This window comes from Homo sapiens, chromosome 1 (genome assembly GCF_000001405.40).
Source record: "Homo sapiens chromosome 1, GRCh38.p14 Primary Assembly".
Taxonomy (NCBI): Eukaryota; Metazoa; Chordata; class Mammalia; order Primates; family Hominidae; genus Homo; species Homo sapiens.
Genome location: NC_000001.11, coordinates 203,790,803 through 203,808,535, shown reverse-complemented (window position 1 = coordinate 203,808,535; position 17,733 = coordinate 203,790,803). Strand labels below are relative to the sequence as shown.

General features: G+C 41.6%; 3 protein-coding genes and 1 pseudogene across 46 annotated transcripts in view, besides 2 other annotated features; 1 reads left to right on the top strand and 3 right to left on the bottom strand.

The window, feature by feature from the left end:
- Window positions 1-12,913, bottom strand: part of ZBED6 (zinc finger BED-type containing 6) — a 58,502-nt gene extending 45,589 nt beyond the window's left edge. Inside the window, exon 1 of one of the 2 annotated variants that reach the window (NM_001395895.1) lies at window positions 5,520-12,913. In NM_001395895.1, the coding sequence (NP_001382824.1) occupies window positions 8,074-11,013 (2,940 nt within the window). In that variant the 5' untranslated portion in view covers window positions 11,014-12,913 and the 3' untranslated portion in view covers window positions 5,520-8,073. Of the gene's footprint in view, window positions 1-5,519 lie in introns of those variants that run through there. The other variant, NM_001174108.2, reaches the window with a different exon arrangement.
- The window catches only part of ZC3H11A (zinc finger CCCH-type containing 11A), a 58,502-nt gene extending 45,589 nt beyond the window's left edge, over window positions 1-12,913 (bottom strand). For 2 of the 43 annotated variants that reach the window (NM_014827.6, NM_001350266.2), the window contains exons 1-4: window positions 12,761-12,913; window positions 12,040-12,243; window positions 6,908-6,961; window positions 5,520-5,579 (exon numbers count right to left, since the gene is read on the bottom strand). The gene's annotated coding sequence lies outside the window, so the exon portion shown is untranslated. Of the gene's footprint in view, window positions 1-5,519; window positions 6,962-11,928; window positions 12,244-12,741 lie in introns of all 43 variants that reach the window. The other 41 variants (NM_001376338.1, NM_001376367.1, NM_001376341.1 and 38 more) reach the window with 38 other exon arrangements.
- LOC100420338 (charged multivesicular body protein 5 pseudogene) lies at window positions 2,244-3,104 on the top strand (annotated as a pseudogene).
- Window positions 4,810-5,311: an enhancer, noted in NCBI's record as "H3K4me1 hESC enhancer chr1:203772353-203772854 (GRCh37/hg19 assembly coordinates)". NCBI's record gives its function as "activates a minimal SCP1, AML or CMV promoter by ChIP-STARR-seq in naive H9 embryonic stem cells {active_cell/tissue: H9 hESC(naive)}" and the evidence as "EXISTENCE:reporter gene assay evidence [ECO:0000049][PMID:30033119]".
- Window positions 6,344-6,442, bottom strand: LOC128031836 (uncharacterized). Its single transcript, NM_001414738.1, has one exon. The coding sequence runs from the start codon at window positions 6,440-6,442 to the stop codon at window positions 6,344-6,346; it is 99 nt and encodes a 32-aa protein (NP_001401667.1).
- Window positions 12,793-13,212: an enhancer, noted in NCBI's record as "active region_2357". NCBI's record gives its function as "activates an Ori minimal core promoter by ATAC-STARR-seq in GM12878 lymphoblastoid cells {active_cell/tissue: GM12878}" and the evidence as "EXISTENCE:reporter gene assay evidence [ECO:0000049][PMID:35858748]".

The following is a 17,733-nucleotide window of genomic DNA, read 5'->3' as shown; positions in this document are numbered from 1 at the left end:
TGTAGAGATTATGAAAGAAACAATATAAGAACATTTCCTTAAATTTGATGGACTTGAGTCTTTACATTAAAGGGGATCATCAAATGCCAGGCAGAACTTTTCTTTAAAGACATCTCTGCTATACACAGACATGGTAAAATTTTTGAATTCCAATGGTAAAGACAAAATCATACAAACTTTCAGGAAAAATCAGATTGACAACAAAGGAAAGAAAATCAGACTTGACATTATTAGACTTCTCATCTGAATCTCTAAATGCCAAAAGACAAAATGCTATTCATCCAGAATGTAAAGGAGATTATGACCTTTAAGTTTAGAATTTCAAACTACATTTCACAAATAGCTCAGAACTTAGAAGTTTTTAGATACAAAAATTCTCAAAAAGTATATCACCTATGTACTTATACTTTTGAAAAATACTCAAGAAAATATTCTAACTTAAGAAAAAGAACTTACAAAAAAGTACTCAATAAAAGTAGAAAAAAAACAAAACAGGCCAGGCATGGTGGCTCACATCCGTAATGCCAGCACTTTGAGAGGCCGAGACAGGAGGACTGCTTGAACCCAGGAGTTCAAGACCAGCCTGGGCAACATAATGAGACCTAGTTTCTACACTAAATTAAAAAATTAGCCAGGTATGGTGGCACATGTCTTTACTCCCAGCTACTTGGGACGCTGAGGCAGAAGGATTGCTTGAGCCCAAGAGGTCGAGGCTGCAGTGAGCCGTGACTGCCCCACTGCACTCTGGTCTGCGCAACAGAGCAAGACCCTCTCTCAAAAAATAAATAAATAAGCCTGGGCAACATAGTGAGACCATGTCTCTCTCCCAAAAGAAAAAAAAATTTAGCTGGGCATGGTCCATACATCTGTGGTCCTAGCTACTTGGGAGGCTGAGCTGGAAGGATCACTTGAGCCCAGGAGTTTGAGACTGCAGTGAGCTATGATCACATCACTGCACTCCAGCCTGGGAGGCAGAGCGAGACTCTATCTCTAAAAAACCAACAAAAAAAAAACAGTAAGACAAAACAAAACTTTGTGTCACATATATTACAAACCCAAAAAACAGTCATAATATTTTTACCAATAGCCAGGCATAGTGAGTCACATTTGTAATCCCAGCTACTCAGGGGGCTGACGCTGGAGGAAGCCTTGAGCCCAGGAGTTTGAGGTTGCACTGAGCTATGATCACATCACTGTATTCCAACCTGGGCAAAAGAGCAAGACACTGTCTCTAAATAAATAAATAAAAATTTTAAAAATGTTTAAAACAGCTGCTTTGGACATCTGATTTATGACACAGATAAAAAATCCTAAATAAAGCATTAGCAAATTGAACCAGCTGTATATTAAAATAGTAACATGGTCAGGAATGGTAGCTCATGCCTGTAATCCCGGAGCTTTGGGAGGATTACTGACTTGAGGCTAGGAGTTTGAGACCAGCCTGGGCAACACAATGAGACCCCATCTCTAAATAAAAATTGAAATAAAATAAATAACACTACATAATCAAAAAGGTTTATTCTGGGACTAGGAATGGGTTAACATTAGGAAACTCATTATATTTACTAGAGTAAAAGGGGTAAAAAACAAAAAAAATCCTGTAGTAATTTTTGAAAGACTTCAAAAAAGAAAAAATGGTTAAAAAGTGAAGAAAAGTACTTGAAGTAGTCTTTATCAAGTAAAATAGCAAAAAAAAAAAAAAAAAGGAACCTGAGGTGCAATATCCACTCAACAAAAACTTGGTAAATTGTAAGGTACTTCCTAGCATAAATGCACATAATCACCAGAAATCATCAGCATATGCAATATGGTAAAACACTAGAGGTAAACTAACTCAAGATAAGCGAAAAAAGGACACCCATTCAACAGTCTTCACCATCTTTCAACACTGTTCCAGATGTTCTAGTATATGCATTAAGAAAAAAAGGTGTTAGGCCGGGCACGGTGGCTCATGCCTATAATCCCAGCACTTTGGGAGGCCTAGGTGGGCTGATCACTTGAGTCCAGGAGCTCAAGACCAGCCTGGCCAACATGGTGAAACCTAATCTCTATTAAAAAATACAAAAATTAGCCGGGCATGATGGCAGATGCCTATAATCCCAGCTACTCAGCAGGCTGAGGCAGGAGAATCGCTTGAACCCGGAAGGCAGAGGCTGCAGTGAGCCAAGATTATGCCACTTGAACTCCAGCCTAGTGACAGAGCGAGACTCCGTCTCAAAAAAAAAAAGGAAAAAGAAAAAAAGGTGTATGGGTTCCTTTACAGCCACTCAAGATAAACTGATTCTTCAGGAAAGTGAAATTAAGGCTCCGCTGCCCAGCCTGAATGACTGCATTGGCATGGTGGACAGCAGGGCAGAATCCACTGACAAGATTTCTAGATTGGATGCTGAGCTAGTGAAGTATAAGGACCAGATCAAGATGAGAGGGGGTCCTACAAAGAATATGATTACGCAGAAAGCCTTGCGAGTTTTAAAACAAAAGCGGATGTATGAGCAGCAGCAGGACAATCGCACCCAAGAGTCATTCAACATGAAACAAGTTAATTACACCATCCAGTCATTGAAGGATACCAAGACCACGGTTGATGCTATGAAACTGGGAGCAAAGGAAATGAAGGTAGACAAGCAAGTGAAAACTGACCAGATTGAGAATTTACAAGACCAGCTAGTGGACATGATGGAAGATGCAAATGAAATCCAAGAAGCACTGAGTCGCAGTTATGGCGGCCCAGAATTAGATGAAGACAACCTAGAAGCAGAGTTGGATACACTGGGTGATGAGCTTGTGGCTGACCAAGAGTTCTATTTAGATGAGCCAGCATCTGCACCTGCAATTCCAGAAGGTGTTCCCACTGTCACAAAAACAAGGATGGAGTTCTGGTGGATGAATTTGGATTGCCACAGATCCCTGCTTCATACATTTGCATTTAAGTACATCATGTAAAACATATTATGGGACTATGAAATACTGATCTTTCCAAATTTACCGTAACAGATACGTTTCTGTCCTTTCTTTGAAGGAAAGTTTAATTACATTGCTCTTCTATTTTTTTCCTTTGAGACTCATTGCTTGGGAAATGCTTTCTTTGTACTAAAACTTGATTCTGGCAGGGCGCGGTGGCTCACACCTGTAATCCCAGCACTTTGAAAGGCTGAGGCAGGCAGATCACAAGGTCAGAAGTTCGAGACCAGCCTGGCCAACATGGTGAAACCCCATCTCTACTAAAAATACAAAAAATTAGCCGGGTGTGGTGGCGGGCGCCTGTAGTCCTACTCTCGGGAGACTGAAGCAGGAGAATTGCTTGAACCCAGGAGGCGGAGGTCCAGTGAGCCAAGATCACCCCACAGCCTGGGCGACAGAGCAAGACTCTGTCTCAAAAAAAAAAAAAAAAATCACTACTGTATCAGAAGTGGGTATTTTGATTCTGTGGTTTCCTTAATACTACATCTTGAAATCAATAATGAATATTTCTTGATATTTGATGAATAGGACATTTATTTACTCAATTTTTTCAAAAGGAAAAAAAGGCATAAATTACAAACATATATTAAAAAGACGAGACAGGCCGGGCACAATAGCTCACGCCTGTAATCCCAGCACTTTAGGAGGCCGAGTTGGGCAGATCACCTGAGGTCAGGAGTTTGAGACCAGCCTGGCCAATATGATGAAACCCCATCTCTACTAAAAATACAAAAATCAGCCGGGCATGGTGGCATGCGCCTGTAATCTCAGCTACTTGGGAGGCTGAGACAGAAGAATCACTTGAACCTGGAAGGCAGAGGTTGCAATGAGCCAAGACAGCACCATTGCACTCCAGCCTAGGCAACGAGAGCAATACTCCATATCAAAAAAAAAAAAAAAGATGAGGCAAAAAAGAAAAAAATCCAGAACCTGCAGATTACATGCTTGCAAACTAGAAAATCTATCAACTAAAACAAATTGAAAATAATAAAAATGTAAGATCTACAAGAAGCAGTAAATTTCCTTCATACCAGCAATAATCATTCAGATGATGGCAGAGTACCACTCACAGTAAAAAGATATACAGGAAGAGACCATTCACAATAAAAAGATATACAGGAAGGGCCGGGCGTGGTGGCTCATGCTTGTAATCCTAGCACTTTGGGAGGCCGAGGCGGGCGGATCACGAGGTCAGGAGATGGAGACCATCCTGTCTAACACGGTGAAACCCCGTCTCTACTAAAAATACAAAAAAGTTAGCCAGGCGAGGTGGCGGGTGCCTGTAGTCCCAGCTACTCGGGAGGCTGAGGCAGGAGAATGGCGTGAACCCGGGAGGCGGAGTTTGCAGTGAATCGAGATCACGCCACTGCACTCCAGCCTGGGCGACAGAGCGAGACTCTGTCTCAAAAAAAAAAAAAAAAACACATATACAGGAAGAAAATGAAGAAGTATGCAAGACCCACATTAAATTAAAAACAAAACCAAAACACTATGAAACTACTAAGGCACAGAAGACCTGGATAATGAATAAATAGAGGATTAAAGAAATTACTTCTCCCCAAAAAATAATGCACACATCGAATGTAATTCAAGTCAAAATCCCAATTAGAGTTTATTACTGGAACTTGATTATAAAATCATCTAGAATCATTATTTAAAAAGGAATGGGAGGCCAGGCATGGTGGCTCACACCTGTAATCCCAACACTGGTTGGCCAAGGCAGGAAGACTGCTTGAACCCAGGAGTTTGAGAACAGCCTGGGCAACACAGAGCAACTCCATCTCTACAAAAGGTTTTAAAAAGTAGCCAGGTACAGTGGGGCACACCTGTAGTTCCAGCTACTCAGGAGGCTTCGGCAATAGGATCTCTTAAGCCCAGGGGTTTGACGTTGCAGTGAGCTATGATCATGCCACTGCACTCCAGCCTCAGTGACAGAGCACAAGACCCTGTTTCAAAACGAAACAAAATAACCCAGTGCTTTTCTCCAAGGAGATGGAATTACAGGAAGATTTCACTTTGGCTATGCTGTTTTTACCTTTTTTACAATGTACATATATTATCAAAACAAAGAAAGAAAAACTATGGGCCAGAGGCGGTGGCTCATGCCTGTAATCCCAGCACTTTGGGAGGCTGAGGCTGGTGGATCACCTGAGGTCAGGAATTCCAGACCAGCCTGGCCAAGATGGTGAAACTTCATCTCCACTAATAATACAAAAATTATCCGGTGTAGTGGTGCACATCTGTAATCCCAGCTACCCAGGAGGCTGAGGCAGGAGAACTGCTTGAACCTGGGAGGAGGAGGTTGCAGTGAGCCAAGATGGCACCATTGCACTCCAGCCTAGGGGACAAGAGTAAAACTCCGTCTCCAAAAAAGAAAAAAAGAAAAGAAAGAAAAAAATATGTTTCCATCCCAAAACTAAAAATTTGTAAACAATTATGTACAAGCAAAAATGTCTGAACAATGGCCTTTTAATTTCTTACTGATCCATGAAAATTATGCCTTAAATGACAAGAATGTTCACTCCTTTCATGCGAAAAATGCCTGCTTCCCCACTTACATTAGCTGGTTGCTCTGAACAGGAACATCTGTGTCTTCACTGAGTTCCAATCTATTACGCCTGTAGGTCGAACCAACACTCAATCCATGAATTAATAATAATGAGGCAGAAAAAAATTTCCTCCTCACATTGCCAAGAAAACCTCTCAGCCACAATTCAAACACAGCATGTGTTTTTAAAACATCTCCCAACTACTGGGAGATTAAGTCCATTCAAATAACCTTTGTCAGACTGGAGACAGCTAGGGTTAGTTATCTCCTCAAAAACAAAACAAAACAAAACAAAAAAAAAACAAAAAAAAAGAGTTCATTTAAAGATGAACTTGAGAGTTAAAGGATCATGAAAAAAAACTCCATCTTCCATAGCTGAACAATATAATTTAAAAAAAAAACAAAAAAACATCAGTTTTTCAGTAAGATCCAATTTCTGGTCTTCAAGATTTCTTCACCTATTAAGAAAAAAACAGAAACCTTCCCCCATCTTTATTATCTGTATAATAAAAGCATACTTGTATGTAAAAATATAGTGTTTTATGTATATAATATACATACAGATATATACTAACTGGCTTATACACACACACATATACACAAAAATGTATAGAAATATAACATTTGGATAAGTTTCCCCTTTTAAAATGCACTATAAAAGACTTTAGATTTGGGTTCATTATAAAAATAAAGAACTTACTCTTATACCAAAGTATCATGAAGTTATTGTTACACTAAATTTTGCCCAGCCCACAAAATAAAGACGAAGGTAAATCCTTACACATATATCATTATGTATAATATGGATGTATGTATATATATCCATCATCGTCATCAGGGAGTGTTTAACCAAAAAAGATAGAAACGTATGGTAATAGAGTAACTACAGAGTGGTGCAGCAAGCTGTAGAAGGCAGAGCAGCATTATAGCCATTCTAAACTGGCACTGTCAAAACACAGAAAGCTTTATCTAAGGGAAAATTTATTTCTTATTTTGTATCAACACCAGTATCACTGGTTTGCCATTAAATAGTGGCCCTGGAAAGGCTTGCTTACGCAGCCTAGGTCCAAATTCTTTACTACTAATGGCTACAGCTAAAGACTTTGTAAGTATACATTTACTCCAGTTAGTAAAAGGGTAAACTTTTGGAGTTGAGATTTCATTTCACAATGGCATATTTACCATTTAAGAATTTAAAAAAAAAAAAAATCAAAACCAAAAAAAACCCGATTTTGATACATAGAAATGAGTTCTAAACTTTGAAACCAGCCCAGTAACAAAGCAATTTTGATTCTTATGTAATAAATACTACATAATTTCTAGGCTAAATCTTGCCAAATACTATCCAAGACAAAACTAAAATCAAAACTTAAAAAAAAGTGGACACCTTTTACTCACACTTAATACTAGTCAATTTTCCAGGAATTTTTTGGGCAGGGAATATCCCCAAATCTAAAATGAAAAAAAGGAAAAATTGGGATCTCACATTAGTTATTCAGTCTGAAACTTTTAATAGACTTTTACTAAAAGTCATCATTTTCTGGCCTCCTACTCAATCTCAGAAACATACTTTCAGAGTAGAAAGGGATCTTAAAATGAGATCAATTCACTCATTTCACCAATGATTCCTAACACATAAAAATACCGACTGCTTAGTTTTCATTAAGAATTCAGTGGCCAAAACAACCGCACAGTTAATACAGTATAATGGGTCATTAAGTATGTTTTTAAAAAGATTACCTAAAATTACAGAAACAATCTTTGGGAAATGTCTACTGGGTTTTTCCAAGCATGTTCAAAGGGCTCTCATTACAATTCCCATTCAACCTTTTCCAATTCTTGCAAACATTTTAGTCTGTTTTTACCCATAAATTATTTGAAAGTACCTACACAATCTATTTTTATAATATTTTATAAAGGTTAAAACAGGCATTTCAAAGACTAAAAGTATATTTTCCTAATTGTTTTCTAATATTTCCCTTTTATATAAGATCCAATTCTAAAGGGTAACACTATCACACTCAACAATTTGAAATTATAAAGCTGACCAGTATGAGGAGGCAATTAGAAATTTCCAAATATAAAACAATTTCACGGGTTTTCTTTTTGCCAAGTTGTAATTAAGCATCAGGGTTTTTAAGGAAACAGAAAAACAGGGGCAGGAGGAATGCCAGCCAGTGTACTTTTTTCTCATTTCGTTGATTTCAGAGCAATAAAATTTCCCATGGTGGGGGAAGTTTTACTTAAAACCAATTACTAGTTCAATCTACCAGGAAGAAAGCCTAAGGCCTTTCAATGCTGCACTATATTTTTTTTAATTAAAAATATCTTCTCTCTCATTGGTATAAGCAAAATTTTCAAGTGCTAGCGCCACAGTTATAGCTATGAAATCTTTAATCTTCATTTTATCAAAATTATATTGCCTCTGAGGAATTTTCAGCCCTTGTGTGATTTCAGGTTTCCCCAGATGTGTTTATAAAGATAATGATTATATTTAACAACTACAGCTATTAAGATACAGTAACACAGCAAAAAGTTGCCCATTTTAAATGGAGAAAAAGAAATTAAGGCAGTATTTCTTTTTCACTGCTTTGAACAACTTCATTCTGCTCAGGATCCCAGCTCAGAACCAACGTAGAATAATCGTAGTTAACATTTTTCAAGTTCATTTTCAGAAACATCAGTTGTTCTATATTGTCAAAGTCCAGGCTCATGATCTGTTTTGGATGAAAGTGGCTATTTTTAGTAAAGATACATTCAGATTGCCAACTACACATGGGGCAACTTAGATACTGGATGGCAACCTGGGTCAAAGCCGGCCATATGCTTATCTTCCTCTGCCAGTAAATTAAAGGGTCATCACCTCCTGAGAACTCTGAATACTTCTCTTTGAAGTACTCATCCACAACTGCTACAGCAGAAGGGAACATGAAGCTTTTGCTTCCAAGGGCAACATTGTCTACAGCTGAGCTATCAACAGAACCTGAACTGGAGGTGCCTTCTTTTAGAGATGAGGTAAATGAATCAGCTCCCACTGTAACTGAGGGACAAGAAGCTTCTGAAGTTGGAATTTGGCAGATCTCTGGTGAAGATTCCATATAATTACAGACCTCTTCTGCAAGGAACTGCTTATAAGTTTCTAAATCAGCACCTTGAGGAAAAAAGTCTTCCAAACTGTTTTTAAAGCAAGGATCTAACAAAGTAGCCAAGATACAGGGCTTGGATTTAAGCATGGCACTTAGTAGGGTATCTGTTTCAAGTTTCAGAGATAAACTATCCACCAGATTGAGGGCCTGAGTAATACCTCTGACTTGAAAATCTTCTCTGAGTTTCTGCAGGGAAAGGAGTAGATGATGGATTAGGGGTAGCACCTGATTCAATCCTGCGGTCTTCACGCTCACTTTCTGGGTAGCCTCCTCAAATGGCTTAAGAATATCACAAACATAAGTCATTAGAGTCCACTGAAGGGAGGTGAGCACAACTCCACTGGCTCTACCAAGACTATGGTGAACTGAGTAGCAATGCTCCAAGAGCCATTTTAACATATAAAAAGTAGAAATCCAATGGCCAGTTTCGTCCTGCTTCAAATTCTTCCATGGAAGTTGGTGATCATTTTGGAACTCTTGCAGTATCTGACGGGCCTTGACCGAATGACTAAAATGATGACAAGTTTTCCTGGCAGCCACTAACATATTCTCAATGCTTTTGTGCTCGCAGAAAAAGTCCTGAATGACCATATTTAAACAATGCAGGAAGCATGGCACATGGGTAAAACCACCATCTTTGATTGCATGTACCACATTAGAGGAATTGTCAGAAACAATGAAGCTAGGGATAAGGAAATTTGGAGAAAGCCACAGACCAATCTGGTCATTTAATTCTTGTAAAATATTGGTTATCAAACAGTCTTTAGCCAAACCTGTAACACAAAGCACTGCCCACTTTCTAAAATCGGGGATCCTGCCATTATTGAGAAAAGACGCAGTTTCCAAAGAAACCCAGTGTACAGTCACAATAAAATAGTCAGTGGATGGGTCATGGGTCCATATGTCAACAGTCAGGTGTATCTTTTGGCTTTGAACATTCTCTAAAGTTAAGAAAATTTTTTCTCTGACACAATCATATAACTGAGGTACAGCCTTAGTGAAAAAGTAAGTCTCTGATGGCAACCTATAATCAGGGGCCACAATCTGCATGAACCTCTGAAAGGCTGGGGTTGAGAAATAGTTGTAAGGATGCATATCCTCCACAATCATTTGGATAATTGCCTGACTTATGTGACTTGAGACTGGATTTCCACAACATGTTGTTTCTCTCTCCTGCGCACGCATCAGAGTGCCTTGCTCTGCAACGGGAATAGGACTTTCAGATCTGTTTTCAACCTCTAACATAGGTTCATCTGAATCAGAGTCACTAAGGTCCTCAGCTGTTAAATCTTGGCTGCCTGTAGACTTTTCTCCATGCAAGGTATCACTCAAGAGATCACTTCTCTCAGTCTCAGCTTCATCTAATCCATTTGCAACAGCACCACTGTCTTTGTTGGCAACAGCCCAATGGATAGGATGTGTGGCTTGCAGGTGTCGTTGAAGTGTTGAAGTCCCTAAGTGGGACCCTGGCCTACCCCGGCTCACACTTCTTTTACATATATTACACACAGCTCTTGAGATGTGCTGAGGATCAGTGTAAAAAAAATTCCAAACGGCAGATGTCTTGGCTCTAGTTCCAGGAATTAAAGCATGCTTGACAATGTTACTTTTGATGAGAAATCTCCCTCTTTCTGCCCTTAGGGCATCAGATGCTGATTTATCATGCTTCTTGCCCATTCTATTATCATCTAATGGATCAGTAGGAATATATTCAAAGCTTCCATTGCTTCCAGAAGAGGGAGATAAAGACACATCCAAGGTAAAGTCCTCCTCTCCACTAGCAACTCCAAACTTGTTGGCCCTGGTCCAATGAGGTGAATGCCTTGCTTGCAGATGTCGTTGAAGAGTAGATGTACCAAGATGGCTACCTGGTTTACCCCTGCTGACGCTTTTCTCACAGAGGTTACAAATGGCCCGCCAGGTGTACTGGGGGTCAACATGAAAGAAGTGCCACACAATGGAGGTCTTGGCTCTAGTACTAGGTAGATAGATCTGTTTTTCTATATTGCTCTCAAAAAGACTTTCTTCATCCTGCTCAGGGTCATTGGAAGCTAACAAAGCAGGGGCATCTGCAACAGGCCTCCCAGATCCCAAATCCTTACTAAACTTTTTGGCAAGAATCAATTTTTTTCGACGCCTTTTCCCCTTAATTCGCAAACCCTTCTTTCTTTTCTTTTTAGCAGGCTGTTTTGCCTCTTTATTCACTCCTTCTGCTACCATCTTTTCCTCTACCACATCTTCTTCATCTGTATTAGAATTAATAGGAACACATCCCAGAATCCCAGAATCACTAAAAGTGTTGCATCTTCTGCCAGGAGAGAGTGAAGAAACTGGTACACTTAGAGTACATACACTCATTCTCTTTATGTCTCCACAATTCGTACCAGAATCTGTTAGTGGGTTTATTACTCAAGCAGAAATACAGCTGTTCCTCTCTACTTGCATTACCTTTTCTCCAGTTTCTATGGGGAATCAAATTCCCACTGGACCAATAACTTCCAAGCCAGGTTATTTTTGGAGGAAAACTGACAGCAATGGAGAACATTCCCGAACTCTTTCTTAGAGGGCTTTAAGGTCCCTTCCAATTTTCTAAGTTCTGAATTCAAATAGTCCAGTGTCCTCATGTTACAGAAGTAAGAACTGAGTCCCCCTTTCCCAGAGTCACAGAGTTGGTTAGTAGCAGCTAGAAGCCAGGTCTTCCAAATCCCAGATCCATGTTCTTCCTGCTTCATCAAGAACTATATCTACTTGAAATGCCTTCACCTTGTAAAATACATATTTTTATGATGCCTCATGATAGCGACATCAATTTCCCTTAATTCTGAAATTAACTATTTTCAGGAAATCTCATTTAAACAAAAACATAGTGCATCATTCAACATTCATCATTTAGGACTGTGATTTGCCAATACAACCCAAAAAGTCAATTCTGGAAAGCCAACACAGACTCCGCATACTGGTCACAGCAAATGCTAGTTGAGCCCTTTCAGTTCTAACTAAAAGTAATACAACCTTTTAAAATGTGAGTGGCTGGAAAAAAATGCTTTGAGAAAAAAATTTTAAAACAAGGTTAAATGCTGCATTTTCAAAGTACTGTTTGTATTAAGAGTTAATTCAAGTTTAGTTTTCAGATATTTTTAGACTTGAGAAGCTTTTACAGCCTGTAAGTAACTCACAAGTTGTACGCTATAGAGATAGCAAAAAGTGAAATATGAACTTTAAACCACTTCCATTTTTCGATTGATCCCTCCCCTTCCCCCAATACCTACATACATTTACCCTAAAAAGCATCGCTATCTCTAGTTCCACAGCCTCTTTCTCAAGGTCCAGAACCAAGGCCTGGAAGATGTCAACAATATAGGCCTTCCCCATAGGAATCCGCACCGATTATGGGAGTTTAGGGGTGTTCTTCATTACGGTTTCACCAGTCCTACAAGGAGAACGGAAGTGTCCCTGTTGCTCTTGACTCCGACGCTGAGGGCCAGGGGTGGGAGTGTAATGAGAGTGGGGAATGGGTGTAGGATACCGGAATAAGGTCGGTGGCTTTCTGTATGTGGAGTTTGAGACAAGCTCCAAAGTACCGGGACCCTGGAGAGGAATGAGAGTAGGTAAATTCAGCGCCCGGCACTCAGTCTGATTGATTTAGGCAGTGAGGGTCCGCTCAACTAGAGAAACTGTTGCCCCGAAGAAAGCAATCTAGTGTCAGTTCTCTCTTCGGGATTCGGGGGAACAGTCGGTTTTCGGGGCTGCTCCGGGCTCCTCGAGATTAGCGAACACCGGATGTGGGGGAGGGGAGGAAGGTTGGCTGGGAAAGGAGCAGGCGCCGTGGGGGTGGGGTGAACGGGGTGGGGGTGGGGAGGATGGGAAAAGTGAGCGGGAGCCTGGGGCTCCCAGCCAGCCCCGGCGAGGGCCGCGACCGGGAGGTGGGGGGGAGGGGTCGTTACGGCGAAGCTGAAGGATCCGCTCTGACTTCCCGGGATAGGCCGCGACCCAGGGGCGAGGGGAGGCCGCTGCCACTCCCCTCGCCCTCTCCCCCACCTCCCCGGCCCCAAGCCACCCGGGAATCAAAAAAACGGGTCTAGTTACCAGAGAACAGAAACTTTACCGAACCGATGACACTATCCCCGACTCCCGCTTGCTGCCACGTCTTTCTTCTTGCTTGGCCGCTGCCGTCCGTCGTCCTCCCAGCAGCAGCAGCACTAGCAGAAAACCAAGACTGCCAGCGTCAAAGATGGCGCCTGGCTACAGGCTCCGCTCTAAGGCCCGGCCGGTAAAAGTGCCAGCACGACGCAGGGCGCGAGGATTCTGGAAGATGTAGTTCCTCTATGAGGCGATGCCTAAGATGGCTGCTCCGGGTCACAGGGTCACGTGACGGGGGAGGCGCTGGGTCGGGGAGTCCCTTCCCTTCAGAGGAATGCCTCGAAGCCGGCTTTCATAACGTTTTGTTTTTGTTTTTAAATCAAATGAGGTAATAAGCGGGAGGGCCGCAGGAACTGAGACTGCCATTCAGTAAGCGCTCAATTTATTCTTACCAAAGTGTTTGCTTAATGAGTAAATCTCCCAAACCATGTATACATTTAATTTAGAAATAAACTGTACTTTTCCTAAGCATGCAATGTAGAATGATTTGTTAGTTTATTTTTTACTTGAAGAAGTGAGATTGGGCTTTGGGGGGGTGTTTCTTTGATTTCTTAAAGCAAATTTGTGTATTGGAAAAGTAATTCATGCTCGTGACAAAATTCAGGAGAGTTAGTTGGAGGTCGCAATCAGCAGTCTCATCCCTGCTTCATTATTAACATTGTCCCTTATTTTCCCTTTTGAATGTTTTTACTTTTTCCCCCGGTTATAAAAGTAATACACGTGGCCGGTGCGGTGGCTCACGACTGTAATTCCAGCACTTTGGGAGGCCTCGGCAGGCGGATCACAAGGTCAAGAGATCGAGACCATCCTGGTCAACATGGTGAAACCTCATCTTTACCAAAAATACAAAAATTAGCTAGGCGTGGTGGCACGCGCCTGTAGTCCCAACTACTCGAGAGGCTGAGGCAGGAGAATCGCTTGAATCTGGGAGGCAGAGGTTGCATTGAGCTGACATCGCACCACTGCACTCCAACCTGGCGACAGAGTAAGACTCCATCTCAAAAAAAAAAAAAAAAAAAAAAAGTAAAAAACTTAATACACGTAAGTTTTTTTAGAAACAATACAGAAATATAGAGAGTAGAAAGTTAAAATCTCTATTAATCTCATTCTTGAGAAATAGCTCTCATTAACTTACCATATATCCTTTCTGGCTTTTACACTGAAAATATACTTAAATATATTACACATATAATAGGAGCCCAAGGTCCCCCTGGGGTAGTGGCTCAGCAGAACTCTAATTAGGTGGCAACATTTTACCTAACTTGGGTAAAGGATATAGTTGTGCTACTAAGAAAGGAAACACTTGATGATAAAGCAGATGGGACTTCAGGCACCTTTTATTTCCTCGTGTGCTTGTTCTTCCAGCTGCCGGGTTGGTGATGTGCGAGTCCCAGGCAGCCCAAGACTAGGAATTTATCAGAGCAGAGGGGTCCTGAGCCTCCTCATATCTGGGCTTTTATCTCCTTTCAAAGTAAGAACCACAACTTTAGAATCTTAGCTCCAATCTCTGCCTTACGTGACAGTGCTCTGGCATTGCCATGTCAACAGACCTAATAAGCAAGTTCCTGGTAGCCAATTTCTTTTTTTCTTTCTTTTTCTTTTTCTTTTGTTTTGGTCTTCATTTTTTTGGTCTGTGTGACTCTTACTGGTAACCAATTTCTGTCTGTGCCACGACACCTAGGGTTTTTAAAATTTACCAGAGGGCTCTCCACATAGCTTAAGGGTTTTCCAACCTAGGACTCTCCAAGATGCAGTCCTGGCCTGACTAGTGTGCTATATAGAGTTTATAGTTATATTTCAGTAAACCTAAAGTATCATTGATTGTAAGATACACTTTTATTTTACAAGCCTCTAAGTGGAAGAAAAAAACCAACAACTGCCAATTAAACTGACAGGCCGGCCGGGCAGGGTGGCTCACACCTCTAATCCCAGCACTTTGGGAGGTTGTGGCGGGCGAACCACAAGGTCAGGAGTTCGAGACTAGCCTGGCCAACATGGTGAAATCCTGCCTCTACTAAAAATACAAAAATTAGCCCAGCACAGTGGCACGCATCTGTAATCCCAGCTACTTGGAGGCTGAGGCAAGAGAATTGCTTGATCCTGGGAGGTGGAGGTTGCAGTGAGCCAAGATCACGCCATTGCACTCCAGCCTAGGTGACAGGCTAGGAAAGGATGTACATCTTAGAATGAATGAAAATATGAACAGGCTAAAACTATACATACCGTTTTGCAATTTGCTTTTTTCACTTTACAATATATCTTGAATATCTTTTAATGGTCATCAGCACTTAGAGGCCTACCATATTCTTTTTTTTTTTTTTTTTTTTGAGACAGAGTTTCACTCTTGTTTCCCAAGCTGGAGTGCAATGGCACAATCTCGGCTCAATGCAACCTCCGCCTTCCGGGTTCAAGCTATTCTTCTGCCTCAGCCTCCTGAGTAGCTGGGATTACAGGAATGCACCACCACGCCAGGCTAATTTTGTATTTTTAGTAGAGACGGGGTTTCTCCATGTTGGCCAGGCTGGTCTGGAACTCCTAACCTCAGGTAATCTGCCCACGTCGGCCTACATTCTTTTTAATAGCTCCCATCCCGCTCTCTGTAAGCCTCTTTTTACAATTTATTTCACCAGTCCCTTATTGATGGAAACAATCATGTTTCATTTTCCATTAGTATCTCTCAAGGGGGGGAAAGAAAAAATAATAGGGTAATAAGGACATTGAAGAGGGCAAGCTGGGCAGGGGCTCACGCCTGTAATCCCAGCACTTTGGGAGGCCCAGGCCAGCAGATCACTAGAGGTCAGGAGGTGAAGACCAGCCTGGCCAACGTGGCGAAAGCCTGTCTCTACTAAAAATACAAAATTAGCCGGGTGTGGTGGCACCCGCCTGTAATCCCAGCTACTCAGGAGTCTGAGGCAGGGAAGCACCTGAACCCAGGAGGCAGAGTTTGCAGTGAGCCAAGATTGCACCACTGCACTCCAACCTGGGCAACAGAGAGAGAACCTGTCTCACAGAAAAAAAAAAAAAAAAAGGCAGGAGAAAAAGCCTAAGGCTGTTGCAGAGAGAGAAAACTAGTTGGGAAACCCTCTAAGAGTCAGGAGAGTGCACATGCCAACCTTCCCCACCCCCCCATATATACACACAGAATTCTCAGGGGTGGGGCTGGGCTTGCCCTTTGTATGTTATAAGTGGGGGTGAAGTATCTAAACCAAGGACACAATGCCAGATTCCCCCTATTCATACTGCCCTTCAAATTCTAAATGGATTTTAAACATATCTAGACCTCTTCAGTGAATGACAAAACCTTTTGGGACGTTCAGTGTGTTTTTGCTTTGAGAGCAAAAGTTTGGGGAAAAAATGCAAAATTATTGAGACAAAATTAGGTTCAAGAGAATCTTTATTTAGACTAGAAAAGGAAATCACAACAAATTACACATTAAAAAAAAAAAAAAAACTGTGGCTGGGCACAGTGCCTCATGCCAGTAATCCCAGCACTATGGGAGGCCCAGGCCAGTGGATCACTTGAGCCCAGGAATTCAAGACCAGCCTGGGCAACATGGTAAAACCCCATGTCTACTAAAAATACAAAAATTAGCTGGATGTTGTGGCGTGCACCTGTAATCCCAGCTATTTGGGAGGCTGAGGCAGCAGAATCCCTTGAACCCGGGAGGTGGAGATTACAGTGAGCTGAGATTGTGTACCACTGCACTTCAGCCTGGGCGACAGAGTGAGACTCAGTCAAAAAAAAAAAAAAGAAAGAAAAAAAAATATATATGTATGATTATTGTCAAATTTGGTACAGCTTCTATCAAGTTTCTTAGATATATATAAGCACTAAGACTTTATTGAATTATTTAATACCCTCTTGGCCAGGCAAGAGCTACCATTTTTACTAAATCTATTATTTATTGCTATGTAAAAAATCACCCAAAAATGTAGTGGCTTAAGGAACAAACATTTGTTATTTCACGTGTCTGTGGGTCAGGAATTCAGAAGCAGTTTGGCTGGATGGTTCTGACTCAGAGTCTCTAATGAGTTTGCAATCAAGTTGGCCAGGACTGCAGTCATCTGAAGGCTTGACTGGGGCTAGAAGATACATTTCCAAGTCAACTCATATAGCTGTTAACAGGAGATGAGACCTCAGTTTCTCACTCTGAGGGCCTCTCCGTAGGGCTGCTCAGGATATAGGCAACAAGCTTCTCCCAGAGTGAATGACGAGAGAAATAGTAAAGATAGACACTATAAGCTGCAATGCCTTTTATGACCTAGCCTTGGGCATTACATACCACCATTTCTTCTGTATTCTATTGATCACACAGATTAACACTGGCATTATGTGGGAGGGGACTAAGCAAGGGCATGGTAACAGGAGCCAGGGATCATTGGGGTCTTTCTTGGAGGCTTGCTACCATGCCAGCTGTTAGTGATAACTGACTCGTCCATTTAAAATTTTAGATATGGCCAGGCACAGCGACTCATGCCTGTAATCCCAGCACTTTGGGAGGCCGAGGCGGGCAGATCACCTGATCAGGAGTTCAAGGCCAGCCTGCCAAACATGGTGAAACCCCGTCTCTACTAAAAATACAAAAATTAGCCGGGCGTAGTGGCATGCGCCTGTAATCCCAGCTACCTAGGAGGCTGAGGCAGGAGAATCGCTGGAACCCGGGAGGCAGAGGTTGCAGTGAGCCAAGATCATGCCACTGCACTCCAGCCTGAGCAACAGAGCAAGACTCCATCTGAAAAAAAAAAATAAAAAAAAAATAAAATTTTAGATGTGTGGCCAGGTGCAGTGGCTCACACCTGTATTCCCAGCACTTTGGGAGGCCAAAGCAGGTGGATCACCTGAGATCAGGAGTTCAAGACCAGCCTGGCCAACATGGTGAAACCCCCTCTCTACTAAAAATACAAAAATCAGCCAGGTGTGGTGGCATGCATCTGTAG